Consider the following 27796-nt stretch of genomic DNA (forward strand, 5'->3'; position numbering starts at 1 on the left):
CACTGTTGATTCAACACACACACACAAAAATTAGATGTTTTACAAAGCATAGACATAAGCCTTAAAGTGGACCCAAAATCGTGCAAGGGCAGGATAGAGCGTACACACCAGAATAAAAGGCCTTGTGCAGACAGAGGGTGCCCAGTGGAGTTCTGCCTTGTACTCTCACCCTTATCGTTATTTTCTTTCACAGTTACAAAGTGTATTGGGTTTAGTGTCACAATTTTATCTTTTAGTCCCTTCCTTCCTCAACTGCAAAGTCAATGGGGGTAATATATGTAACAGCTGAGGGAGGGCTTTCAAGAAGACACGTCTGAAGGGCCGTCAGCACAAAGGGAAAAGATCCATTTAAGCTGCTGTGCTAATAGGAAAAGAAACCTATCAGCCATCCTCAGAGTAGGAAGTGGTGGTCTATGCCTGCACAAATCGAACACTGCGTCCATTCAGGAGTGGCCAAGGACTGGGCAGCCCAGTGGGCCACACATCGGGCAAGAGGCTGCCCGAGCCCTGGAGGTGGGGTTGGGGCCTGGAAGCAATCTGATCGGGAAGCAGAGCCCCGAACGGGCTCCGACCTGTCACATATTTTGTCTCTTTCCTCTTGGGTTAAGATTCTCTGGGGGCTGAGATTCCCCTCTGTGTTCCCTTTGGCCATGACCTGCTAATCACACCTTGTGGTTTGTGCGATGTCTGAGTTCCCATACCCTGCCAGCCTAACAGCCCTCTAAAGGAGCTTGTGGAAGAGTCCCAATCATTGCCCCAGACCTGCCAAACCCTAATCTTAGAACAGTCCCAGGGACACCTCGGTTGCCCAGGCTCCTTAAGGACTGCAGCATAGCTAGGACTAGGAGCTTCCGTGCTGGCCCCAGTCCCAACATTCCTTGATGGAACAGAAAGGCTTAGCATAGGAAGGAAACTGCTGATCTGAGATGGCCTCAGAACACCCTGCCCTCCACCTCACCCACTCTCACTAGAGAAATCAGTTCACATCTGAATGTGACGCCAAGGATTTGGCGAAACAGGAACTTGGATTCATCAAAGCTGAATTCATTCGATTGAGATTCATTAACAGGCCACATCATTTAAACCCTAACTGTGTTCTATTATTTGTAAGAGTCGTACCAAGTGGTGGTCAGTTGCCAGCCTCACGTTTTAATAGTTGCAAGTGGTGCCTACGCCAGGTGGGAGGGCATCCACCTTCCTCACCAACATTCTATTTTAGAAGTAATGACTCACAATATCGTCACAAAGCTTTCACAAACTCCTCCCACACACCCACCCTGTGCAGGAAATGGGGCCATTCTTTCCAATGTACAGATCAGGATGTTGAGGCTCAGATTAAGCTACATTAATTACCCAAACTCACCCAGCTAAAATGTGTGAGCTGAAACAAACCCAGGTCTTTCCAAATCCCAGCTCTTTTTTTCTAGGACACTGTATTCTGAAAGGCCCTAATTTGTCACCTCTCTGATTTAAAGGCTTGGCTAATGAATACATGTTGCTGTAAAAACTGTTAAGTGCTATATAAATACAGATCCCTTTGTGGCTGCGAGCAAGCCTTGGTCTACAATCAATCTTCGATACTCAAAGTACACGTACTGTTACATTATGAAGCAGCACCTTCCATTTCTCTGTACCCAGGTTTCCATCGTTCCTTCTACCTTCTCCATCCCCTTTCCTGGACCTTCCTCCTCCACCCAGGCTTACCTATAAACATTGATGTTCTGCAACACTCAGGCCGGGAGTGTTCTCTCTGTTTTCTCTCATCATCTCATCTAGTATGATGACTTCAAATTCCACCTCTCTGCAGGTGACACCCGGAATTACATCCCCAGTTGTGAATATTCCTCTGAGCTTTAGATGCCACGTCAAATGACCTGGGACACCTTTTGTACATCTGCATGACAACCGAACTGGTGATTTCCGACCGCTCCTCCGTTCCTGCTCTGGTCCATCCCATCTCAGTGTTAAAGCACTGCCGAGAAACCTCGATCAGTTAGCCCTCATTTCCCTCCCCATCTCGGGAGGTCCCGTCCGTTTTCTGGGTTAATTCCAAAATAATCTTGAATACTAATCCCCTGGTGCTGTCAGTCCAGCCCATTTCCTTTCCTGTCAACAGCCTCCTAACTGCTCTTGCCTCGCTTCTTAACTCCCTACAACCTGTTCTCCATACTTCAGCCAAAGGATCTTTCCAGAGTGATCTTGAAACAGATCATACCATTCCCCGGCTTAAAACCCTTCAGTGAATCTTCTGTGTACCTGGAATAGAATCAAGTCCCTCTGCCCCTCTCCTTCCACTCCCACTCTCAGCCACCAGCTCCAGCCTTACTGATGGGCAGTTCCTCAGCCTCGAATGCTCCGGCACATTTGGAAGGTTTGTGCCTTCAAGTCTAAGAGAGGTCTTCCTTGACCACCCCGCCTAAAGAGGGTTTCTCCCCTTTCCCCACTTTTCTCTGCCTCCATGCCTATTTCCTGCATTGTGCTCTATCACAATGTGCATTTTCATTTTTCCTGTTGGCCCCTAACCCAGGTTTTGGCATGTGGTAGGTTCTCAATAGACACTTGGTGACCAAACAAATATTTCATATCTTATTTCTGAAGACTTGAAACACTTTTGCAAAAACTTCTGTTCCTCCTTTCTCCTGCTTCTGGCTCCCAGGAGTCATGTAGAAGAGACCAGAACCGCAACTTTGCCATTCTCAGCTTCTGTTGCCTTCAGCAGGACCCAGAGTCCCACAAAGAGATGAGAGCATGAGGAAGGTGTGGGGTGCTCAGGAAACACCAACAATGCACCTAGCTACACTCTATCCTCCCTGATGTGAATTCATCTAAATGTAAATATTCATTAAAATAGAAATATTGGCTTCTCTCTGGACATGGAACAGATCAGAGCTAAGCAATAACTGAGTTCAGACCGGGGTAGCAGGATCCTGATGGGGAAGCCTAGGTTGGGGCCACTATGACCCTGGATCCCTTTTGGCCTGCATCTCTTTCCCAAGAGCTGGAATATGGTCCTCTCACACCCAAGTATGAGTCACTAAGCAATTCCATCATCCGTAGTCGTCATACACCCAGTATTGCTCTCTCCCTCACAGCCACATGAGTTGTGACTGATACACCCAATCTCTGTCCAGTTCAGGACTGTCGCGCTTTCAGAGGGAACATGTCCCCCTTCTCTGTCTTAGCACCAGGACATACCAGTTCACTGCACATTTCTATTTCTGTATCATCTCTGCCTTTTTGCTTTGCGACCCCTTTGCAATGTTTCAGGTTTCAAAATGTATTAGAAGACCAGTGCTCTTACCATGAGGGAGTCCCCGGGGAATGCCCCCCCAAGCCCTGTGTGCATGTTAACATGAGGGCCTTGGCTCCTCCTGGGCCAAGGCGACTCTCAGAGCAGACTCAGGGCAGTCCCAGGAAGCCAGGCCTAGCCACAGGGGCACAAAAGCAGGGCATATCCCCAAAGGTCACAGGGTGACTCTCAGGTGGCTTACACTTCTGCTGAGGCCCTGGACTCTCTCCTCCACCCATCAATAACTTCCTCTTTCATTCTGCTGAAAACTACAACCAAACTGAAGAACCGGGCCCCTTTTCGTTTTTTCCTAGAAGGCCTTTATCACATTCTGGTTTCTCCAGGCCATTTCCATGCCTGGTCCTTGACGGCCGGCATCTCCAACAGCAGCAACTCTCTTTGGTTTCTGTCTGGTTTGGGATTCCTGGCCCTGGAAGCTGTCACTACCCGCTTCATGTCTGCTGCCGTTTTCTCCTTCAGAGTGGAAATCACGCAGCCATCGTGCCTGGCTTAGCTCTCAGGGAGGCAAACTCCACACCTGAGCTTACCTGGCTGCCCCATCGTCCCATTCCACAGCAGACAACAATTTGCAAATACTTTCTGCTATGACTGAAAAGCAGCTCGTGTTGCTTTGACTAGAACCCACGTGAAAAGAGCCTCCCTGAGGTCCCCGCTAGAGAGGGTCTCCTCCCTTTTTTTCCCCAAAATTAGAAAGTCAAACTCCTACTTGTCCAAACTCACCACAATTCATTGAATTTTTCTGAGTAGTGGCAGCCCTGGCTAAGAGTCTGAGGAGCCCTGCGTCCCTTGGGAAAGTGGGGGAAGCCTAAAGCAGGGGCCTCTGTACAGAGGTTCAGGACCCCTCCCCACCCTGCTGGAGGAGCACATCTAGAGATGGTGGCGTGAGCCTAGGGGTTCCGCTGAAAAGACAAGCGGCGTGCAAGGGATGCCACAGAAACGCAGGATGCCCGGGAAGGAGCCTCCACAGCTACGCAGGCACTCCCGTGACACTGCTCACCTGGTACGGTTCTGTGGTTGGAAAAGCAATTTCTATTTTAAAATACTTTTTATAAGAAGATGACTTTCCTTTCAGACAAAGCCAAACGTTTAATCACAACATACTGCCTACACATTTTAAAATCTTTTCCCTCTTCCTTCTCACCAAAAAAACAAAACCAAAGCAGGAGACTTGGTGCAGCGTGGCATGCTCCTCTGTGACCCAGAGCCGGGGAGCCCGTCCCTCCCATTTTGCTGAGAGGCTGAGCGCTCAGCTCTGCCCGGGGGCAGCTCTGGGTCCTCCCTGTCCCCAGCACACATGGGGAAGTTGAACAAGATGGTTTGGAAGAGTCGAGCTTCGGTTTCACCATCCCTTCTCTGGAGTCCTAGGCCAGGGCTATGTTCTGCCTCTCCCCTCTGTCCCCAAGTGCCTCTGCTGGCCCTGTGAGTCGGGCCTACAGCTCCCTGCCATCCTCCTCCTCACCGTCCTGGCGCTGGGACCGTCGCCTCTGCTGCACCAGCTGCTTGTCCAGCTCCCGGAGCTGCTTCAAAAAGCCCCGGTTCGGGAGGACGCAGCGGTTCTTGGCCACTTGCTGGATGGCGTCCACCAGGGTCATGTCCTTGTGGATCATCAGGTAGGCCAGGACCAGGGTGGCTGACCGGCTGCGGCCCATGACGCAGTGAACCAGGATCTTACCTGCAGATGGAGCAGGGAGGAGAAAACCCACACTGAGGGGCAGGTGTTGGGGGCACAGGTAGGGCCCACTCCCATCCTGACTGTCACCCTCTCGCCCACAGAAAGTGACTCAGCACTGTGCCCCACAGCTGCCTCTGTAGAACGGGGACACTCTCGGTGTCTTCTTCATAGGGTTGTTGAGAAGGCAAATAACCCTGTAAATAACTCGATTTTAGCACAATTTGTTTGTGCTAATGAATGGCTGCTGAGCTCCTACAGTGTGGCTGGGCTGCCTTTCCCCTGAGCACCATGGCCAGAAAGCAAGCACCCACTTCTTGATTGCTGTTTCGGATCTGGGGGAGGCTGGTCCCAGGTTCTCCCTGGCATGACCGCGCTCCTGGGGTGTGAACGTGTCCAGCTGGATGAATGTCCACCCCTGGCATTCAAATCCCACGGACCTTTCTGGAGGCTGCCGGGCCTCTGGCCAGCCCTGCTGATAACCAAAGCGTTTCTTCCTCTCCCAGAAAACAGGGTAATTCTTTCTGTCATGACTCAGTACTTGAAACAGATGAAAGCTGTAGTTCATTAAGCCTTTTGGGGGCCTGAATTCTGTTAAGTGGCAGAGGGGAGGGGAGAAAGAGTTGGAAGGGAGATGGAGGGGGTGGGAGGAGAGGGGGAGGTGGAGGGAGCAGGAGAGAAAGGGGAAAAGGAGGGACAGAGGACACTAAGCTCTGGTAGGAGTTCCAAGAGCTGAATTTTGTTTCCAAGACTAGGGCATGAGGCCGGGCGCGGTGGCTCACACCTGTAATCCCAGCACTTTGGGAGGCTGAGGTGGGCGGATCACTTGAGGTTGGGAGTTCAAGCTGGGTGAATGCACATGTGTTACTATTGGAGGAGTCAGGCCTATTGAGAAGAATCAAGGTCCAGGCAACACTTTTGTTCCTTCTTGTGGTCAGATTAGCTGAGACCCATCATGCCAGAGCACATCTCTTACCATCACAGGGGCCAGCACTATACCTGTGTTGGGCTTTTATTTCCCAACTTCTGTCAGAGCTCCTAGGGTCCCCCTGGCCAGAGCACACTTGTTGCAGTGGGAGAGATCAGCGCCCCTCTCATGCTTGGAGATACTTTTCTTCATGACTACAGTCAGAGCCCTTGAGGCATGCCTGACCACAGTTCATCTTTAGGAACAGCAGCAGCTAGTGCATACCTATGCTTGCAGGTCCTTATGTTCTCACATACAGTCAGAGCACCTGGAGCCCATGTGGTTAAAGCCTGGCCAACATGGCAAAACTCCATCTCTACACAAAAATTAGCCAGTCGTGGTGGTGCACCTGTAGTCCCGGCTACTCAGGAGGCGGAGGCAGGAGAATTGCTTGAACCCAGGAGTTAGAGGTTGCAGTGAGCTGAGATCGCGCCACTACACTCCAGCCGGGGCGACAGAGCAAGACTGCATCTCAAGAAAAGGAAACCCAAATCCAGAATCTCTACTGCTCCTCAATTGCATGCTTTTAGGAGTGACTGGAAGGTAGGCCTCTGTCACGAAAATCAGACGTAGGCTAAGACTGTTACCCTGCACCACGCTCCGCCCCGCAGCCAGGTGTGCTCCTTGCTAAGCAGACTCCTTCCTTGCTTTCAGGAGATGCTTTCTGCCCATCTCCCATGCACTATCTGGGAACCTGCCTTTCTTAGTAACTTGCAAAGAAATTCTGGTAGAGCCCTTACTTCTTCCCAAGAGGTTCTAGGTGTGTGGAAGTTCTGAGAAACAAGGTGCAAGGTGTATTATGAACTGCCGGGGCTGGAGGGAGATAGGGCAAGAGACCCTTCCAACAGTGAAAATCGGCTGGGCGTGGTGGCTCATGCCTCTAATCCCAGCACTTTGGGAAGCCGAGGTGGGTGGATCACTTGAGGCCAGGAATTGGAGACCAGACTGGCCAACATGGTGAAACCCTGTCTCTACTAAAAAATACAAAAATTCACCAGGTGTGGTGGTGGGCACCTCCCAGCTACCTGGGAGGCTGAAAGAGGAGAATCGCTTGAATCCGGGAGGTGGAGGTTGCAGTGAGTGGAGATCACGCCACTGCACTCCAGCCTGGGTGACAGAGCGAGATTCCGTCTCAAAAAAACAAAAACAAAAACCAAACAGTGAAAATCTGGTCGGTTAAAGCTTATTAGAAGCACCAGAGAATCAACCTCCTGCTTGAAAGCAGGCTTCATTTATTTATTCATACTTCCCTTATCCATAATATATTTTAAGATGCCTTCAGAAGCAGGCCATGGACTGCCAAAAGGAGAGCGTGATACTAAAGTCTGATCTTTAGCGCCTCGTGGCATTTGCCCTGGAGTTTCTTAGAAGACTTCATTAAATTAAAACCACACTAATTCACCTCGGAGGATGCCGAATCGGGGGCAGTTAAAGCAACCCAAGTGGGGTTCCTGTGACAGTATTTTGTGAGTACTTCTTTTTCTGATGAAGAGTGACAAATTCAGTTTTTTCAGATCCTATAACCAGCTGGCATGACTCGCCCTCCATGATATTCGGTGACCTCTTATACAGCAAAGTCACCAGGTGCTCAAAATAAGGGCAGAGGACTCTTCTGTGAGGCCTCGGTGACAGAAGGAATCCCCGCTGGTAGGCAGGTGTCCTGATGGCGCTGCCTCTGATTAGCTCTGTGACCCTGGGCACCTCACTTGTCTTCTCTGGGCCTCTGTTTGCCCAGCTGTCAGGGCAGGACCAGGGACTGGATTATCTCCGAGATATTTTAAGAGTGACTGAGGTTGCCTGGGGAGTTCTTTATAAAGGGTCAAGTCAGGGTAGTGATGGGATGGGAGAGGGCCCCAGGGGCTGATTACAGCCCACGAGTACAGCTCCACAAGGAACGCTTTTCAAAAAGAGTGAAAATGACCGGCTGTGAGAAGCCAGGTAGGGGGAATGGTGTACACTTGGCTGAAACCAGTCAATGAGAACAAAGAACATAGACAAGAGGAAGCAAGGAGTGATGCCTTGCTTTTTGGCCAGACTGTCTATCCACACCACTTACATAGAGAGTGTAAGAAACATACAAGTAGGTCCAGCACTAAAATGCCAAGCAGTGTCCCTTGCCTAGACACAACTGCATGTGGCAGGTGGGCTGAGCACCTGCCGTCCACTGGGTATGAAGTCTGTGGCATTGCTGCTGCTGAGCTAGCGGGCATTTTGTTTGGTTGCTCTGGCCACTCAGGGCACAGGTTACAACCTGATGGCCATTGGGTTGCTTTAGTCTGTCCTTTGCAGCATTTTAAGAAATTTCAATCTGTTGCCAAGACCTAAAAATCGAGTGATTTTATAATCCAGATTGGAGACTTCTGAAAAGTCAGATCTCCCACATTTGCACTGACTCTCACAAGACAAGCATTAGCTGAGGCTGGGTGGCAGGTGCCCCTCTGAAGGGGTACAGGGCTCTCTGCTTAGCCACAAGTGCCCCCTACCCACACCCCTCCGCTGTACATGCAGCCATCTTCATTTGTTTACACTCTGCATGGTTCTGCAGGGTAGGCGTTTGAGCCCTGACTTGAATTATTTAGATATGCCAGTGCAAAGGTGCTGAGAGCAGAGCCTACCCTGCCATCTCCAGTGGGGTCATGTCCTGCTCCCCATCCCTAGCCATCTGGTCGAGTCCCGGCACCCCCATCCATTCATTCTATCCCACTCATAGTCTCTGATCCAAGTATCTACTCTCCTCCGTTGGCCCTTTGTTTGCTAGGTGCCACCTGGTCTAACAGTCATGATCCACAGCAGCCTGACACCTCCTCATAATGTTCTGTCATCTGCCTAGGCCTAAGCTTCAACTTGAGAGCCTGATTCTTTCTGGATTTGGCAGTGGGGGCAGACCCTAAAATTGAGTGCCAGGAACCTACAACAAGCTTTCATGTGAGTATATCTTACAGTTCAAAGTTGGAATGTCTTTTTTTTTTCTTTGAGGATTGGAAACTTTACGATGATGATGTGCACATGCTGGCGTGGTTATATGCTTCACAGTGTATGACCACGCTTTATCAAATACATCCGAGAGCCTGCTGTCCACCAGGTTCTATGCTAAGCGCTTTACGCGCGTTACTGCTGATCCTCATTATAACCTCTGAAGGTAAATATTTTTATCACCGGATGGAGAAACCAAGGCTCAGAGAAATCACATCGTTAGTAAATTGTGTGACAGAAATGTAAACCCAGCCCTGTCTTCTCCGAAGCCTGCCAGGCCCCTTCCATGAAGGGTAAGGTCTAAAATATAGTAATGGCAAGTGAGTGCATTAAACAGAAACTGAAGGATTAGGTTGTTGCAGTCTTTGTTTTTTTCATGTCAAATGTGTTTTCAGTTAACTTCAAATACTATGAGGCAAATTTTACCTTGTGGTGATGACTCAGTTCAGTTGTGTTTTTGATCCTGCTTGGAAACCCAGAATGTACACAGCACAAAAGATGGTTCATAAATAGACTCATAAAAGGAAGGCCTGGAAATGAGGCATCTTCTAATACAGGCATGTTAGCTCTAAGGGTTTTTTTTCATTGTGACATTGCTTTCTGAGCCAAAATAATGACAAATTGTTGGTGGCTATGGTTGGCTGTGGGGCCAGGGCCACCTTGGGATGTCCATTAAGGTCTGATATTGTCCAGCAGACCTGGCCTAGGCCCAGCCCCAGGTTGCAAGTTCCTGCAGCAGACTATTTGGTCAGTCACTGAGCCTTGTAATCACAACCTCTTGTGGCAAGAAAGGCTTTCAGTAACCAGATACCCTGAATTATGTGATGGCTCCACAAAGGGGTGTGTGACACATTGGGCTGAAGTCAGAGCACAGATTAGGGAGCTGAAGTCCCTCTGGCCTCTGTGGAATTCCACTGAAGTACACCCTGCAGCAATAACTGTATATTGTCTTACCCCCGATGCGTCCCTAAGCTGTGCCCTTCTCTCCAAAATAGCCTTGTAGCCTTTGCTGGATTAGGGTAGCCAACAGTGCATTCTGAGCACAAAGACTAGCACTGTGATTTAAAAGCTGGATAATTAACACTGGGAAAACTTGGACGCTGGGGGTGCAAAACCCAAATTATACCTCAAATACAGCGTGCCAGTAAAGCCCAGCTTGTCAGCTTTCTACTGGAGGCCTCACGAGGCTGAGTGTAACTGGGGAGTGTAACTTGGTTGGTGGGCAGGAGAATTTAAGGTCTCTCCATGGATTCCCACTCAAGTCAGCTCCCTGAGGGTTTTCTGGCATCAAAGCCCTTGGCTACTAGTTGGGTTCAGGCCCAGGCACAATTAGTGTCTCCGGCCGCAGTCCCAGCTTTGAGAGCTCCCAGACCGCCTCCGCCTTTTGAAGGATGGCAAATGTTCTTTAGCAAAGACTCCGACCAAAAGGCCTTTTATTCTTACGCCCTATTTCCATTCCCCAGAGCTGCAATCAAGGCCCGAACCCCACCAGCAGCACGCTGGGTGGTGCAGGTCCTTAAACCTTCACAGCTTCCAGGGGCTCGGACCTTTACCCTCGGCCACAAGCAGCCCCAGTGGCCCAGCTTTGCGACAAAGATTTCGCACGCGCACATCCCGCTTCCGGCCTGGGCCTCAGACGGGGAAACCTTGGGCTAAGGGCGGAGCCTAGGCTAGGGGCGGAGCCTTAGTGGGGCGGGGAAGGGGCGGGGCCTAAGCTACGGGCGGGGCGAGTCGGGGCGGGGCGGGGCGGGGCCGATCGGGGCGGGGCCGCGGGTCTCTTACTGTGGTCGTCGCTTAGCGCTCTGTCGATGAAGGCTGCCGCCGGGTAGAAGAAGACACTGAGGTCGAAGGTGGGCAGGTCGTCGGCCTCCACGCCGTGGTACTGGATGTCCATGTCGCGGTAGTAGTCGGGCCCAGTGTCCACGTTCCAGCGGCCGTGGGCCGCGTTCAGCACGTGCGTGAACCCCGCCTTCTGCAGCCTATAGCGGTCCAGCGCCGTCGCCCTGGGCGCAGGGGAGAGAAATCTGTGGGCGCGCGGCGCCCTGCCCCGGGTCCGGGAAACTCAGGGGCCACCCACGCTTTCCGCTGTGGATTCCAGTTCCAGAATGAGGACTAGTTATTGCAAATGAAGTCCCAAAGCTCTGCTCTTACCCGGTCCCCTAGGCCACCTGCACTGTTTTGTGATTCTGGCTCGGCTGTCTCAAGAAAGGACAGGGTGGAGGCTGGGGTAGGCAAGCTGAGCTATTCGTTCGTCCATTAGTTCTTTCATCATTCAGTATACACAGCGGAACCTGGTGCTGGCCTCTACGGTGGTCGCAGATCTGGACCTGCCAAATCGCCTGAAAGCCCTCCAGAATAACCTGTTCATCAGGGCTGCCTTCTCCCAACCTCTGCTCTGAACCTGCTGGATGTTTTTAGGGTTTGGAGATGGACGCTCAACTGAATGGTTTAAAGCAAGGCCTTCCATAAGAGGATTGGATTGGGATTGGGCAAAGTTCACAAATTCACGTTGGCACGATGTGAACGGGAAAGTGTTGCTTTGGGGAGCTGTTGCCCAGCTGGGCAGAGCATTGTTCTGAGAAGGAGGGCTTTTTGAGCCATCTGTTGTTTGAATTGATTGCAGGGAAGTTCTTGAAGCCAGCAGTGAAGTTATTTAATGGGCTACAGCTTTATCTTTCTAGGCAAGAATTTCCAGGAACAGTAAAGTCCTCTTGAAGTAGGTGGCTCTGAAATATGACTCGATGAGAAGGCAGCATGGTGGGGCCGGAGTGGAGATGGGCTGCCAGAGGAAACACGGGTTCTTCCTGCCTGTGGGGTGGGGCAGGGAGAGGCCTGTGTCACTACAAGTGTCAACATTTGGTGATGGAGGGGAAGAAGGAGGCAAGCGCGGGCCAAGCCAAGGAAACAGCACCACCTGAGGTATGGAGGCTGGAGACAACGAAGGCCTTTCAGGAAGCATTGTCTATTTCCTGTAATCAATTATCCATCCCCAAATAATTATTTGCAATCTATTATGTGCCAGGCACTGTGCTGGGTGCTGATGGTAAAGAAATGAACAGGGGCCGAGCACAATGGCTCACGCCTATAATCCCAGCACTTTCGGAAGCCGAGGCAGGCAAATCACATGAGGTCAGGAGTTCGAGACCAGCCTGGTCAACGTGGCGAAACCCTGTCTCTACTAATAATACAAAAAGAAAAAACAAAAAACAGCCAGGTGTGATGGCGCATGCCTGCAGTCCCAGCTACTTGGGAGGCTGAGGCACAAGAATCGCTTGAACCCAGGAAGTGGAGGTTGTCGTGAGCTGAGACCACGCCACTGCACTCCAGCCTGGGTGACAGAGTGAAACTGTCTCAAAAAACAAAAGAACAGGTTAGTGAAGTTCCCTCAGGAAGGTCAGATACTAATGGGGGTAGGAAATAAACAAAGATAATTTTAGATAGCAGTGAGAGCTATCCGAAGGACCTAAAACTTCATGACATGATACAAAATGACTGTGGTCCTGCTTCAGGCAAGGCGGTCAGGAAAGGCCACTGTGGGGAGGTGGTGTTTAAGCCAAGACTGAGGGATGAGAAGGCTGAGGAAGAGTTGGAGAGAAAGCGTTTCATCCAGGCAGAGGGAACAACTGCTGAGAACAGAAAGGAAGCCAGTGTGGCTGAAGTGGCAAGGGGAATAGGAGTTTGGAAAGGTAGAGGGGCTGGAGCATGGTGGGCCCTGCCCGCCATAGGAAGGAGTATTATTGCAAGTGTGGTGGAAGTCTGCTAGAGGATTTTAAGAAAGAAGTAAGCATTGTTTACTTTTTTAAAGATCAATCTGGCCAGACAAGGTGGCTCACACCTGTAATCCTAGCACTTTGGGGAGGCCAAAGCGGGAGGGTGGCCTGAGACCAGGAGTTCAAGACCAGCCTGGGCAACATCATGAAACCCCATCTCTACAAGATATAAGGGAAAAAAATTAGCCGGGCATGCTGGCATGTGCCTGTAGTCCCAGCTACTGGGGAGGCTGAAGTGGGAGGATCACCTGAGCTCAGGGAGGTTGAGGCTGCAGTGAGCTGTGATTGCACCACTGCACTCAGTCTGAGCAGCAGAGACTCTGTCTTTAAAAAAAAAAGAAAAGAAAAAAGAAAGAAAGAAAAAGAAAAATCAATCTGGCTGATGTGTGGGGATCCTGGATGCTAGGATCTGTGTTTGGGAGTCAAAGAGAGCTCTAGAGAGTGTTTAAAGAGAAGTGATACAATCTGGGTTTAAGAAGACACTTCCCTCAATAGCATGAAGACCAGGACTTCAGCTCAGGGAAGATGTGACAAGGGTCTGGAGCCGTACCAGTAAGAGGGTAAAAGTGGCATTGCACTCCAGCTGAGGGCTCATCTCAAGGCCACTGGTAAAAGCATGTGGACAGAAGTGACCATGTTAGATGCTAGCAGGGACCAACACCCTGAGCCAGGAGGAAGCCTCACACCAGAAATATATGCCATGGCCCCTCGGCCAAGGGTGCGCTTGTCTTTCATTGGTTTCCTGGAGCTTTTTATTTGGCATGAGAACCATGATGGTGTCCAGTGTTTGGGAAGGGAATTGAGCATTTGGAAACATTTGCAGACAGCCCATCAGAACTGTGGCATGGGGAGGTGGGGAGTCCCACTGAGCCCCCCTCCACTTGGCTCTTAGTGTGGCCATTCTGACTGTGGGACACATTGTGCTTTCCATTTTTCCTTAGAAAGGTCTGCTTTTCATTTTTCGTCTTGCCCCAAAGTATGTGTACAACAAACATTATGCTTTGGGGACGTAGATCTGCGCCCAATTAAAGCCGCCGCTAATGCAGTCCATCTTGCTGAGTAGCAATCAACCTCACTTTGAGGTTGAGCTCAGTGGAAAAATTAAAATTAACTCTTCTTGACAGGAAGCTCCTACCCACCATGAAGACTGTTCTCTCTGGGTTCAGTAACTGGCTTTCAACATAATCAAGTGGCAGTTTGAATGAATAACAGTTTGCACTTTGCCACTTTTGGGGAGCGGGATAGATATGCAACAAGACTCATTGCCTGACACCTCCATATCCACCACACCAGGCTGACGTTGGTTGTGCCTGAGGCAGAGAAAGGGGCTCGTGAGGACCCTGAGACCCGGTGGGTATTTGAGGCCCACCACAAGTTTTCAGGGTCTTGGCTCCCTGGACGGGAAGGGGAGTTGGTATCCTCACACATCACTCTGGGGACTTCCCCCAGCTTCATTCACTCAGAGTTCAGTTGAGGGCTTGAAAGAGCATCCACAGCAGAATGGGAATCTGCAAATAAATGGAGTGCCTCTTACACAGATGTTGTGGGGGAGGCAGAGCCATCATCACAGACACCCATCGTCCAGTCCCCAGATGGGACAGATGCCCAGCTCAGCAATTATTGGGAGTGGGGCAGGCTCAGAGGGTGGTGTCTGACACTAGATTGCTTTGGTTTTGTTTTTAAATTTCAGGGCCACATACATTATCTGCTCACATATGTTAAAAAGAGACTAAGAAACACAGGGGCATTTTGAGGTGATGGGCATGGAGAAAAGGCCGTGTGCCCCACTCCTGGGTCCACATAAATGCCTCTGCTGAGGGAGAAAAGACTTCAGAAAGAAAAACAGATTTAAGAATGTACTTCCAGAATCTAGATGACACAGGAGCTTTAGTTTCTGGTTAGGCACAATCCTAGATGTGATCAGTCTGTTCAATTTTTAAATAATATGTCGTCTCATGACAAAAATAACACATGCTCAATGTAGAATGTAGAAAACATACTCCCCCCTCCAAAAAAATCACCTGTATTTCTACTCCCCTGGAGATAAAGGCTATTGTTAGCTTTTGATGTAAGAACCTCCCATTGTTTCTCTATGCATAGATTTGTATATTTTATAGAAAGGTTTTTTTTTGGTACAATACTATATATATAAAGTTTCAAAACCTTTGACGTGATATATTGTAAACATCTTCCTGTGGCAACATATAAGACTTCAATAACTGCATGCTATTTCATTATATAGGTATGTCCCAATTTTTTCTTACCAAACATTTTGATGTGTTTCTTTGGGCACTCCTCTGTTTATGTCCGTAGGAGACATTTTTAAAGGTGAAATTGCTGGGTCAACAGATATGGCCATTTTAAAATACATTTGATACTTGTTACTAAATTACCCTACAGAAAACTTGCTAAAATTGCTAAAAATTGCAGTCCGTATTCTTTGTCAATTTCATAGACAAAAAAAATTAATGGTGTCTTGTTTTCACTGATTCATTTTAGCAGTGATGGACATTGTTTACACATTTGTTGGACTCATGCAGTTTACTTTTTTTTTTTGTAACCTTTTTTTTACTCTTCCCAGTTCACTGGAATCATGTAGTTTACTTTTTTTTTCTTTTTTTTTTTTGAGACAGAGTCTCGCTCTGTCGCCCAGGCTGGAGTGCAGTGGCGCAATCTCGGCTCACTGCTCACTGCAACCTCCACCTCCCAGGTTCAAGCAATTCTCCTGCCTCAGCCTCCCGAGTAGCTGAGATTACACGTGTGTGCCACCATGCGTGGCTAATTTTTGTATTTTTAGTAGAGACAGGGTTTCACCATGTTGGCCAGGCTGGTCTCAAATTCCTGACTTCAGGTAATCCACCTGCCTCCACCTCCCAAACCCAGTGGAGTCTTAACCGTGCAGTCTTGAGTGTGCCCGTTCCTTGCAAGTGGACTTTAAAACAGTGGGCACATTTCTGGCATCTGATCTCGGTTAGTTCACCTGATGGGAAAGTGAAATGAACCGGCCTTCCGGTGTCTTGGGTGTTCTTGTTACTTGAGGGTGAAGCTCCTCCGTGTTGAGGCACCTGAGAAAACATAGGGCTGACAGCTGAAACTGACGCATGAACTGAGGTGGCAGAACTGCTGGGAGCCTCCGTTTTCTTTGTTTGCTAAATAGTACCGATTACACTGGCAGTACTTTCCTTGTGAGAGTCTTGTGAAGTTGAATGATGCAATACTGAAGCTTCTTTGAGAGGTTAAAAGATGACTCCAAGGGGAAAAGGCAGTGGAAAGATTTATGTCAGAATGTGCTTATCCCATGACAAAATGTGGTAATGGGATTATATGTAGTTTAAATTTTCTTGTTTTTGTCTTTCTACATTTTGTACATTTTCAGTAATGAACGAGTCATATATTCATTTACTATGTAAATATAGCATGATTTGTATTGTTATTTCCTTAGTTTTCAGGAGAGACCATTGTAAAGGCATAAGGTGGCCTCGGGGTTTTTAACTTCTACTGGAAATCTCCTGTCTGCCCCACTCTCCCAAACTCTATTCCTCCAAGGATGGAGGTGAAGAGAAGAGAGTACCCAGGAGGTCTGGTTTTGAGAAATGATGTCGTGTGAGTGATTGGACTCGGCATTTGCCTAACCATGCAAGGAGATGGTTTATGTTGCTTGAGGCCTTGACTGCTAAGCCGTGTTCTGGCAATGAGAAGGCCAGGCCAGGCCAGGGCCTCAGGCTTCTCTCCCCGACCGTCTTGCCTGTGACTGCTGCCCAGCTATGCCTCAGTTGCCTTCAGTAGTTGGAAGTCCTAGTTATTTCAGGTAACGCCCAGCATGTTAAATTCGCAACCTTGACTGTTTTTTGCTGCATCCTAAACTGGCCACACCACCCACACCTCGAAGAAGCAGGTTAATTTCATTCGTGCTCGGTGCCTTAAGGCGGAATTAGTTCCTCCTTTTCGGGGAGAAGGAGCTGTCTCAGCTGACTGACTTGCCTTCACTTCACTTCCCAGGCTCTCAACGCCAGGCCAGCTGTGGCGATGCCTCTGGCTTCTGAGGCTGTGGGTCTGGTCAGAAGCAGAAAAGCAGAAAGGACAAGACAGAGGTTCCCTGGAAAGCCAGCTTGGGCTGGGTGGGTGGGGCAGGCTGCAGGCCTTGGCAGGAATCTGAGCCCAAATGCCGGACCTTGGAGGCAACTGTAGTTTACACAAAAATAAGGAGCTCCTGAGGGCCCGCACCATTCCATGAGCAGCAGAAGTTTAACCTCACCCTGGCACTGGCTCTCCGACACCCGCATTGTGGAGAGGGAAGAGAGATTTCTCAATTATCCCGTTTCAGCCAAGCCTTATCACTGGAGGCTGCCCTGCCTAGGAATTTGCAATCACTTTGATGGTAGCCAGGATATTTCCCCTCCTGCTGACTATAGGGAAAAAAAGGACTGAAAAAAGATTTTGCTAAGCAAATGAAAGATGTGAACGAGATTAAAGTGAGAATATTTAAATTACAGAAACTTAGTGCTTTCGAGCGTACTCAAGCATTTTTGAAGCACCCATTTAGGGACTGCTGATTGATAAGAGGTGATGAATTATTCTTATCTCATCATTGACGCCAGTCCCTGGCTCTCTGGAGGACAACACTTGGTTAACCTAATTTGAATCTAATTTGAATGACTTAAAAGTAATAAAACAAGTGTGTGCTTGAAACTAATAAAGCCTAATTCATTTAATAGGCCATTTCTTAAATAATTTTATTTTAGAGCTGGAAGGGAACCTTCGAAATCATCCTTTATTTTACAAATAAAGAAACTGAGTCCCAGAACAATAAAATGCTTTGCCAAAGGCCACCCATAGTTGGTGGCCACCCACACACAGTGGGGACTGGGACGCTGTGCCGAGTCATGCCTGAGCCCTCCGCTCCACGCTGAGCCTGCAGTTCCACTTGTGGCAGATTCAGACCCCTATCGAGTTAGAGGAATGAGTGGGGAGTGGGTGGCTACACCTTGTGTGAAGAAGACTTCCCCCGAACCCCAGGAATATCTGCAAGGTGGCCAGCCAGGCCCCACCCCTTCGACCCCTCTGCTGAGCCGGCAGAGTGAGCACCCTCCACGTTGCCCTCCTGTTTGTGGCCTTTTCTCATCAGGCTGCACTGGCAGGGCCACCTTTCCCCTTCCCTGGGCTGCTGAGCAGTGAGGACTTGGAATTACCAGGCAGCCCACTTGGTGAATCCCCTTGAGCTAACCTGGGATGGAGAAAATGCTTTAGCGATTTTGAAACCCGCAGGCCCAAGGAACTTTGATATGGCTGCCTTCTTAGGCCTTAGGTCACCTCCCTGGAAGGCCTAGGAGAGCAGGCCCTCCTTCCAACACTCTGCCCTGGGTCATGATAGAATTCTCATGGGAGAAATCTGACCCAGGGTTGTTTTCTCTCCCAAGGCTTCCCCTAGCATGGGGGACCCTGGGTGGCAAGGCACAGTGACTGTGCTTTACCTTCCTCATACACTGTGAATCGAATTTCCAGAACCTGCCTGATTTGTCATAGTTCAAACTTGATGAATGTACTGGGCACCGTGAGACATGTTTTGCTTGCATTAACGCATAGAATCCACATAGGCGAAGAAGCTGAAAGTCACAAAGCCTGAGTGACTTGCCCAAGGCCACACAGAAACCAGTGTTCAGTCCAGACACTGTGGACCCAGAGCAGATGCTTGGCCGCTCCACCTATCTCCACAAAAAGGAGCAAGGAAAAGAGTGAGCTTCATCTTAGAGGTAAGTATGCCCCGCTGCAGGCCCCACAGTCACTGGCCTGGGCTCCAAGGATAGATAGTAGCTTTGGCCATCCCAGGACATCCATCCTTACTCCTGGGTCCTGACCTCCTTCACTTCCAGAGCCTTGGTACTGGGCTTTCAAAAATCTTAGGTGCTTTTAGGGAAAGGAAAAACCTAACCGAAATGTAAATATCAAATTAAAACTGAGGCTTTGTGCATGAGGAACCAGCTTGGAGCTTTTGGCTGCTTTGGGCAACCCCTGCAAAGAGACCAAGAAACACAGGCAGCCTTGCCTGTTCACAGCCCAGCTTATAACCTTTGCATGGCTGCATTGGCGGTAGAGTTAATTGCTCTTGCAATAAGCGTCTGTGAGTCTCATTAACCTTGTTAAGTGAGTGTCACAGAAATCAGGGACAAGCACACACCATGCTGACTTGAGGCTCCCTCCCTCAGCTGGGGGTGTAAAGTCTCACACACCTGTGTGTGCTTGTATTGGGGCTCGATTAGGCACAGTTGGATTGAATTAAAAGGGCAGTGACATTTTCCATTTTCTTGGTTGAAAGAAGCAAGTTCAAGGTCAAACATCAAGGAGGCAAGCATATTTTATTGTCTAGCACTCGATTAACTAGAACACGTCAGTTCTGCTCAGACACTCAATGGTTTTCTGAATAAAGTCCCTTGGCCGTCATTCACCCTTCCATGAGCTGGCCCTGACCTACCTTTCCAGATTTCTTTTTTGTTAACTATAATATTTGCATTTGTCTACTTTTTTTTTTTTTTTTTTTTTTCTTGAGACGGAGTTTCGCTTTGTCACCAGGCTGGAGTGCAGTGGCGCGATCTCGGCTCACTGCAACCTCCGCCTCCCGGGTTCACGCCATTCTCCTACCTCGGCCTCCCGAGTAGCTGGGATTACAGGAGCCCGCCACCATGCCAGGCTAATTTTTTTGTATTTTTAGTGGAGACAGCATTTCACCGTGTTAGCCAGGATGGTCTCAATCTCCTGACCTCGTAATCCGCCTGCCTCGGCCTCCCAAAGTGCTGGGATTACAGGCGTGAGCCAACGCGCCCGGCCATCCCCGGCTAATTTTTGTATTTTTAGTAGAGGCGGGGTTTTGCCATGTTGGCCAGGCTGGTCTCGAACTTGTGACTTCAAGCGAGCCACCTGCCTCGGCCTCCCAAAGTGTTGAGATTACAGGCGTGAGCCACCACGCCTGGCCAACTATTCTTCAAGTTGAGGAAAAGGTAAAATAACCTGCCCAAAGCCAATGCACCTGACCAGGAGGCTGTGCCAGATGGCATTATTGTTAGAACGTTTGCAGCCCCTCTGGCTGCGCTAGTTATACTTTCCTGCCCCACTGACATGAGGCTTTGGCGTGGACTTGCTTTTGCCAGTGAAATGTGGGCAAAAATGGCATGTGTCACTTCTAAATCAGCTTATGGTTTGCTAGGTCTCTCTTTTCTCTCTGCTGCAAGGCTGGCAAGATCTCAAATCAGGGCTGCTCTATCACCCTGGGTCCTAGAGTAAAGTGGCCGGGAGCGCAGCAGAGCTGGCCCACCATGGACTGCATTGTGAGTGAGAAAGAATCATTGCTGTGGCCGGCCACCAAGATGTTGGGGTGAGCTATTAGACTAGCACAGCTAATCGAAACTGACCACACAGCAGTAGAATTTGGCTTAATCTTGGACCTTCTGAAAGTGTACCACATTCATCCCCTATATTCCAGATGAATCTCCCTGCTTTTCTCACCTCTGTAGCTATTCCCATCCTGCTTCCTCTGCCTGGAATTTCTTTGAAATCCTACCCATCTTCAAAAGTCGAGCCTAGATCCATGTCTTCTGTGATCTTTCTCAGATCCATAATAGCACCAAGCACTTACTGAGCATTTACTACTTGCCAGATACTACTCTAGCATTTGTTTGATTTCATTTAATCTTCACCCAGTGAGATAAGTCCCATTATTGTTGCCACATAAGGTGAAGAGAGGTAAAATAATTTGTCCAAGGTCACACAACTGGTAATTGGCAGAGCCAAGACTCAAACCCCGTGCTCCTTCCCCTCTAGTACTCACCGCTGTTTCTGTTCCCTGTTACATTTCTACCCATCTCCTCCCTCTCCCCTCCTCAACTCTGAAACAGCTTCTTTACCTGACTGACCATGTTTTTTTTTTTTTGATCTGGATTTGAGTATAAATTTTACCCCTTTCTGGTGGTGAGAACTTGGGCTGGTCACTTGATTTCTCTGAGCTTCAGTGTCTTCTTTTTTTCCCCCGCAGCTCCAAGCAAGGTGTCCAGTAAAGGGTTACTGGCTGACTGAATGAATGAATGAACTCTCTGAGCTGTGACTTGTCCATTTGTAAAATGGGAATAATATTTGTAAAATGGTTCCTCCTTTATAGGGTTGTTGAGGAGTCTAAATGATGCCTAGCACAAGGCATGACACCTACCACCTAAGAATTCAATACAACTTAACTATTATTATTATAAGCCATAGGAAAGGTAAATACAGTATATAATATACAGAGAAAAAGCTTACTTCTCACTATGGGGATTGGAGGAAGCTAGCTTCATGGCAGAAGTGACTTGAATGGACTTTGAAGAATGCATAGGATCTGGACTTGGACATGAGGTGCAGGGAAAGACATTTTAGACAAAGGGAACAGCATGGATAAAGATACAGAGACAGTTTAAGTCTTAAAATCTTAATCTTTCCTCAGTTGTACCATTTCTAGGGTCAGATCTAAGGAAATAATTCTAAATATAGAAAAAACATTATGTGTAAAGATGTCCACTGCAGTGTTGTTTATAAAAGTGAAAACATAAAAATAACTGATATGCCCAACAATAAGGAAGTAGTTAAATGAATGCTCTTCTGTTCATCTGATATATTGTCATGTCTATTATAATTAAATATATAAGAAGTAATAAAAGAAAATGTTTATGAATGATGCTATGTGAGAAATAAGAGAAAATGAATAATCATTATAGTTACAATTATATAAAAACAAATTCCAAAACCAAAAGTAATATTCGGAAAGTCTAGGAGGAAATATACCACAATATTAATAGGAGTATCTTTGAAGTAATGGCCTTTGGTGACTGCTTTGGGATATTGAAAGCAATCTTTCTTACATTTATCATTTTTTTATTATCATAGCTAAACTTTACTGAGCACTTCCTATGTACTAGGCAGTGCACTATTTTACACACATTACCCAACTTAATCCATACAGCCCTGTGAGGAAGGTTATCTTATTAGCCTCTTACCAATAGGGAAACCGAGACTTCTCTATTTACACAATGAGCATATGTTACTTTTTTTTTTTGAGACAGGGTCTCACTCTGTCACCCAGACTAGAGTGCAGTGGCACCATTACAGCTCACTGTAGCCATGACCTCCTGGACTCAAGTGATCCGCCCACCTCAGCCCCCCAAGTAGCTGGGACTATAGGTACATGCCACCAAGCCCAGAAAATTTTTAAAAATTTTTGGTAGAGATGGTGTCTTGCTATATTGCTCAGGCTACTTGCAAACTCCTGGGCTCAAGCAATCCTCCCACCTTGGCCTCCCAAAGTTACAGGGTTACAGGGGTGAGCCATCATGCCCGGCCTATTACTTTCATTATAGGAAATATTTACTACATTTATTTAATATTTTGTTATTAAAAGACTAGAGATGTCAGTCCCTCCTTTTTTTTTTTGCTACTTCAAACAGTGTTATAATAAGCATCGCTGCACATATTTTCTCATTATTGCTACTCTTATTTCTGTAAATTACATTTCTTAAAGTGATATTTTGGGTCAAAATATATGTGTGCCTTTTTTATTCTGAACTAATTTTAGACTTACAGAAACGTGCAAATATCACACAGAGATTGGCAATAAAAAGGAATCAAATACTGATACAAGTACAATTTGGATGAACCTGGAAAACATTATACAAAGTAAAAGAAAGCCAGGAACATATTATAACATTCCATTTATACAGAATGTCTGGGAATCAGTAAATCTATAAAAACAGAAAGTAGATTGGTGGTTGCCAGGGCCTGAGAGGCAGGTAGGGAATGGGGAGTGACTGTTTAGTGGGTTCAGGGTTTCCTTTTGAGGTGACAAAAATATTCTGAAATTAGAGAGTGGTGATGTTTGCACAACTCTGTAAATATAACAAAAGCTCTGAATTGTATACTTTAAAAGGGTGAACTTTATGGTCTATGAATTATTTCTCAATAAAGCCAAATTCAAAGAAGAAAACCTTAGAGAGTTTCTGTACACCCCTCTCCTTCCTTCCCCTAATGTTCACAACTGAGAAATTGTGGGTAAATTGTGGCACAGCTAACTATGGATTAATAAAAGTATACAACAGTATGTATATATAGTATGGGGTTTTGTTTGTTTTGGAGACAAACTGTTGCTCTATCCCTCAGGCTAAAGTGCAGTGGCACAATCTTGGCTCACTGCAGCATCACTCTCCTGGTCTCCAGCAATCTTCCTCCCTCCCCAGTAGCTGGGACTATAGGTGTGCACCACCATGCTGGTGCTTTTTGTTTTTTGTGTTTTTTTTGTATAGACAAGATCTCACTATTTTGTCCAGGCTAATCTCCAACTCCTGCCCTCAAGCGATCCTCCTGCCTCAGCCTCCCAAAGTATTGGGATTACAGGTGTGAGTCATAGCACCCAGCCTATGATTCATTTTTAATTGCTTAAAAAATATATAGGCCTGGGTGCAGTGGCTCACACCTTTAATCCCAGCACTTCGGGAGGCTGAGGCAGGTGGATCACCTGAGTTCAGGAGTTGGAGACCAGCCTGGCCAACACAGTGAAATCCTGTCTCTACTAAAAATACAAAAATCAGTCAGGTATAGTGGCAGGTGTCTGTTACTCTTGCTACTCAGGAGGCTGAGACAGGAGAATCACTTGAACCCAGGAGGTGGAGGTTGCAGTGAGCCGAGATTGCGCCATTGAGGGACATCTCAAAAAAAAAAAAAAATTAGCTGGGCGTGGTGGCGCATGCCTGTAATCCCAGCTACTCAGGAGGCTGAGGCAAGAGAATCGCTTGAACCCAGGAGGTGGAGGTTGCAGTGAGTCAAGATGGTGCCACTGCACTCCAGCCTGGGTGACAGAGGGAGACTCCATCTCAAAAAAAAAAAAAAGTAAACCCTTTATATGTGTGTATATGTTTCCTTATGTTGGCAATAGCCCACACAAGGTAGTAGAAGTATGCAAGTAAATTTAACACTGGTTAGTCAGGGGTAGAATTAAGAGGAGACAAAGGGAGATTATGCAGTTTGTCTTTATAACCCTCTACCTCATTTAACCTAGTATAATTAAGCATGTCATATTTGTAACTTTTTCAATTTAAAAAAAGAAAGACGAAAGGCAAGGGATGCTTACCCTGGATCTTCCTATGGCTAGACGATTATCTCCAGGTATTAAGCAGCAAGATATGTATTAAAATCACATATAGGCCGGGCACGGTGGCTCACACCTTTAATCCCGGCACTTTGGGAGGCTGATGTGGGCAGATCAACTGAGGTCAGGAGTTGGAGACCAGCCTGGCCAACATGGTGAAACCCTGTTTCTACTAAAAATAAAAAATTAGCCAGGTGTGGAGGCAGGTGCCTGTAATCCCAGCTACTTGGGAAGCTGAGACAGAGGATTGCTTGAACCCAGGAGGCAGAGGTTGCAGTGAGCCGAGGTCACACCACTCCAACCTGCACTTCAACGTGGGTGACAGGGTGAGACTGTCTCGAAAAAAAAAGAAAAAGAAAAAAAATAAATACAATAATATATGGAGGGGTCCTACAGCATCTGCATCTGCTCCTTGGTGAGATGGAACATGGCTGGAGTCCGGGAGAGTGGAGGGAGGAGCAGTTAAGAACAAGCCTCTGGGTTGGGCAGAGCTGCATTTTAATCCCAGCTCTCTGCCACTGACTGAGCTGTGGGACTTGGGCCAGTTATTTAACTGCTCTGTGCCTCAGTTTCCCTATCTTTATAATGGGAGTAATTAGCCTCTATCACTGGGTTATCAGGAGAGTAAAATGAGATCATGCATGCAGGATGCTTAGCACAATGCCTGGCATACAGTGTTCAAGAAAGGATAGTCGTTATCATTATTAATATTATTTACAGTAGGTGCATCTCAGTTGTGTAGGGAGTGGGGAATGGTGGTTATAAAAATCTAAAGGAGGTGACAGTGACCTAAATTTAGGCTCCCATACTTCCAGGCATATATTGATGTGTTCCTGCACCATCCACCTAAGAACTGATTTTATTCTTGAGGGTATTATAGCTAGCTAAAATAAAAGACTACATTTCCCAGGCTCCCTTGCAGCTAGGGGCAGGGGAAGTCTGGGATGGGACTTTGCTTTCGGAAGATGCCCTTCTGCTCTTTCTTTCCCTCCACCCTCCTGCTGTCTGGGTCCTAGAGTTGATGGCTGGGGTCCTGGCGGCAATCTGGGACCCTGCAGCACCTGGAGGGAAGAAGCCACGTCCCCAGGACAGTGGCGCAGAAACACAGGAGTCTGAGTCCCTGATGACCCTGCAGTGGCCGTGCCAGCCCCAGCCCACCTCCCTCTGCACTTATATGTGAGAGAGAAATAAACCTCTATCTTGCCTAAGACTTTGTTTAGGTTTTCTGTAATGTGAAGGCAAGCCCAGCCCTAACTAATTGAGTTCTCACAGAACGACTACAAATTCCAAAGCCCATGGCTAGGAGGTGGCGCAGGGCGTGGCCTGGGGAGGGGCTGCTGCCTGCTCCCAAGCGAGCCTGGGCCTGGGCACTTACTCATCGCCAATGTAGAGCTTGGGCCAGACCTCGTTGACGTGGGTGTACTGGGGACTGCCCTTCCAGAAGAGCCGCTCCAGCTCAAAGGCTCCAGGGGTGCAGTAGTCCTCCTCCTCCCCTTCCTCCTCCATCTTCGGCGACAGCCTCTTGGCAGATGAGTAGGCATTCTTGAGGCTTGTCTTCACTTCTCCAGATGTCATTTTAGAGCCAAGGGATTTTCTCTCCTTTCTGCAGCTGGTTATGAGAGAGAAGCAGGATGGGGGTTAGCAGGGGACACTGAGGCAGGGAATAGGCTTTACAAAAAGAGGTGGGAATAAGCTTATCTTAAAATTTGGAAAGAGTTTCCCCAACCTGCTATGCCCCGGCTTCCTCTTCCCAGGCCACACAGGTAAACAAGGAAGGCCATGATGGCAGTTAAATGACACTTCCCCAATGTTCCAATCTTTCTAGAGAAGGAGAGCTGGGGTCCTTGGACGTGGGCCAAGGCGGGCTCTGGAGCTAAGAAATCCTGCAAGCAGCCAGTTCCTTCCCACCTTTCTTTAGACTTTACTCCTTTGGTTCCTACTTTTTCCTTTATCTGACTGAAACCTACTGGTTTGGGCCATTTGGGACCCAAAATAGGAAGGCCCAGAAGATTCCTGACATTCCAGGCCTGTGGCCCTCTCAGTGTCTGCAGGGAGCCGTCAGCCAGTGGAAAGAGTACATCGCCAAGGCCATACCTGCCCGGGCCTGGGTCTGGGCCACACGCACATCAGCAGGACTTCAGAAGCCTTGAGAGGGGAGGAAACCTGGCTGCATGAGGGTTAACCTGTCAGAAGAGCTGAAGGCAATGCTCACACTCTCACACTGGGAGCCTGGCCATCACTGTGTTAACTTACCAAGGGGATTGGAAGAGATGCCCCAAGATAGAAAGCTGTGCCTCGAGACTGAAATGTGCATTTGGAGAGCTTGTTAGGCTCTGCCAGTGGAATGTGGGAGAGGACTTTCCATTGTCCCCAAGGAGAGGAATTTGCAGTGGAATTGGACATTGATTGTTTCCTGAGCTGAGTAAATGATGCACCTATGGTCAGCCTGGGAAAGGAGACTGGAGAGAAGGAGGAAAAGGTGGGAAGACTGAGAACCATGGAGGTGAATGCTATTTGTTTATTTATTTGACAAATACTTATATAACACCTATTGTGTGCCAGACACTATTCCAAGTGCTTGATGATTGTAAGCCCATTTAATCTTAACAACACTGAGATAGGGTTATCCTAATACCCTATCATTAGCCCCATTTTACAGATAAGGAGGATCATGAATTGAGGCTGTCTGTAGCACAGGGTCTTAGTGTCAGGGGGAGGGAGATGGGAGGTGCAGTGTGAGGAGGGGCAGGCCGGGGATGCAGAGAATGTAGGAAAGGGTTCATGGCTTCAAAGACCATTAGGAACATGTCAAAGGGACTCAGAATACAACTTGAAGAAGCTTCCACTTATCAAAACTGGAACAATTTGAACATGAAAAATAAAAATAATTCCAGTGGATCAAAACACATCAAACACTTAGGTCATAATAATACTGAAGGCCAGGCGCGGTGGCTCATGCCTGTAATCCCAGCACTTTGGGAGGCCGAGGCGGGCAGATCACCTGAGGTCAGGAGTTCAAGACCAGACTGCCTAACATGGCGAAACCCCATCTCTACTAAAAATACAAAAAATTAGCCGGGTGTAGTGGCGGGTGCCTGTAATCCCAGCTACTTGGGAGGCTGAGGCAGGAGAATCGCTTGAACCTAGGAGGCAGAGGTTGCAGTGAGCTGAGATCGCACCACTGCACTCCAGCCTGGGCAACAAGAGTGAAACTCCATCTCAAAATAATAATAATAATACTGAAAACAGTCCGGGAGCAGTGGCTTATGCCTGTAATCCCAGCACTCTGGGAGGCTGAGGTGGGCAGATTGCATGAGCCCAGGAGTTCAAGACCAGCCTGAGCAACATGACAAAACCCATCTCTACAAAAAAATGCAAAAATTAGCTGGGTGTGGTGGTGCATGCCTGTAGTCCCAGCTACTCAGGAGGCTGAGGCTGAGGTGGGAGGACCACTGGAGCCCAGGAGGCTGAGGCTATAGTGAGCCAAGATCATATCACTGCTCTCCTGGGCAACACAGTGAGACCTTATAAAAAAAAAAAAAAAAACCCAAAACTTATTATGCACGGTTGGAAGATGTTTGGGAACCAGCTCCTTATTTTGAAGATGGATAGATAAAGGAGAAGAATCTGCATGTATTGCTTCTCTCTTTTACAAACTATATACTACTGGGTTGATACGGGAAATGTTCTTTTATAGAAGTATTCCAGATAATGAATAAAGAAGGAAGCACCATTTTACACCACCTGATGAGTTGCTGCATCCAGAGACTGAGCATAAACTGCCAGCCACGTATGAATAAGAAGAGATGGTCAGACATCATATGCCTTCGAATAGAAGAGCACACCACCATGGCGGGAATCATCTCACCAAAGAGGTCTATATCTATCAGCCGACTTGCTGGAGATTCCGAGGACAGTTACGTTATACCACAGGGCCTTATCTTTTAGAAAA

At 47.9% G+C, this 27796-nt stretch overlaps 1 protein-coding gene across 3 annotated transcripts in view, besides 5 other annotated features; it reads right to left on the reverse strand.

Annotated features, from left to right (window-relative positions):
• Positions 150-199: an enhancer, noted in NCBI's record as "active region_3603". NCBI's record gives its function as "activates an Ori minimal core promoter by ATAC-STARR-seq in GM12878 lymphoblastoid cells {active_cell/tissue: GM12878}" and the evidence as "EXISTENCE:reporter gene assay evidence [ECO:0000049][PMID:35858748]".
• Positions 3065-3224: an enhancer, noted in NCBI's record as "active region_3604". NCBI's record gives its function as "activates an Ori minimal core promoter by ATAC-STARR-seq in GM12878 lymphoblastoid cells {active_cell/tissue: GM12878}" and the evidence as "EXISTENCE:reporter gene assay evidence [ECO:0000049][PMID:35858748]".
• DUSP29 (dual specificity phosphatase 29) overlaps positions 4377-27796 on the reverse strand; it is a 36171-nt gene continuing 12751 nt past the window's right edge. For 2 of the 3 annotated variants that reach the window (NM_001003892.3, NM_001384909.1), the window contains 3 exons: positions 25220-25453; positions 10702-10922; positions 4377-4982 (listed from right to left, as the gene is read on the reverse strand). In NM_001003892.3, the coding sequence (NP_001003892.1) occupies positions 4741-4982; positions 10702-10922; positions 25220-25419 (663 nt within the window). In that variant the 5' untranslated portion in view covers positions 25420-25453 and the 3' untranslated portion in view covers positions 4377-4740. Of the gene's footprint in view, positions 4983-10701; positions 10923-10953; positions 11728-25219; positions 25454-27796 lie in introns of those variants that run through there. The other variant, XM_017016176.2, reaches the window with a different exon arrangement.
• Positions 10751-10940: an enhancer, noted in NCBI's record as "active region_3605". NCBI's record gives its function as "activates an Ori minimal core promoter by ATAC-STARR-seq in GM12878 lymphoblastoid cells {active_cell/tissue: GM12878}" and the evidence as "EXISTENCE:reporter gene assay evidence [ECO:0000049][PMID:35858748]".
• Positions 11081-11190: an enhancer, noted in NCBI's record as "active region_3606". NCBI's record gives its function as "activates an Ori minimal core promoter by ATAC-STARR-seq in GM12878 lymphoblastoid cells {active_cell/tissue: GM12878}" and the evidence as "EXISTENCE:reporter gene assay evidence [ECO:0000049][PMID:35858748]".
• Positions 25126-25677: an enhancer, noted in NCBI's record as "H3K4me1 hESC enhancer chr10:76817979-76818530 (GRCh37/hg19 assembly coordinates)". NCBI's record gives its function as "activates a minimal SCP1, AML or CMV promoter by ChIP-STARR-seq in primed H9 embryonic stem cells {active_cell/tissue: H9 hESC(primed)}" and the evidence as "EXISTENCE:reporter gene assay evidence [ECO:0000049][PMID:30033119]".

This window comes from Homo sapiens, chromosome 10, assembly GCF_000001405.40.
Source record: "Homo sapiens chromosome 10, GRCh38.p14 Primary Assembly".
Classification (NCBI taxonomy): domain Eukaryota; kingdom Metazoa; phylum Chordata; class Mammalia; order Primates; family Hominidae; genus Homo; species Homo sapiens.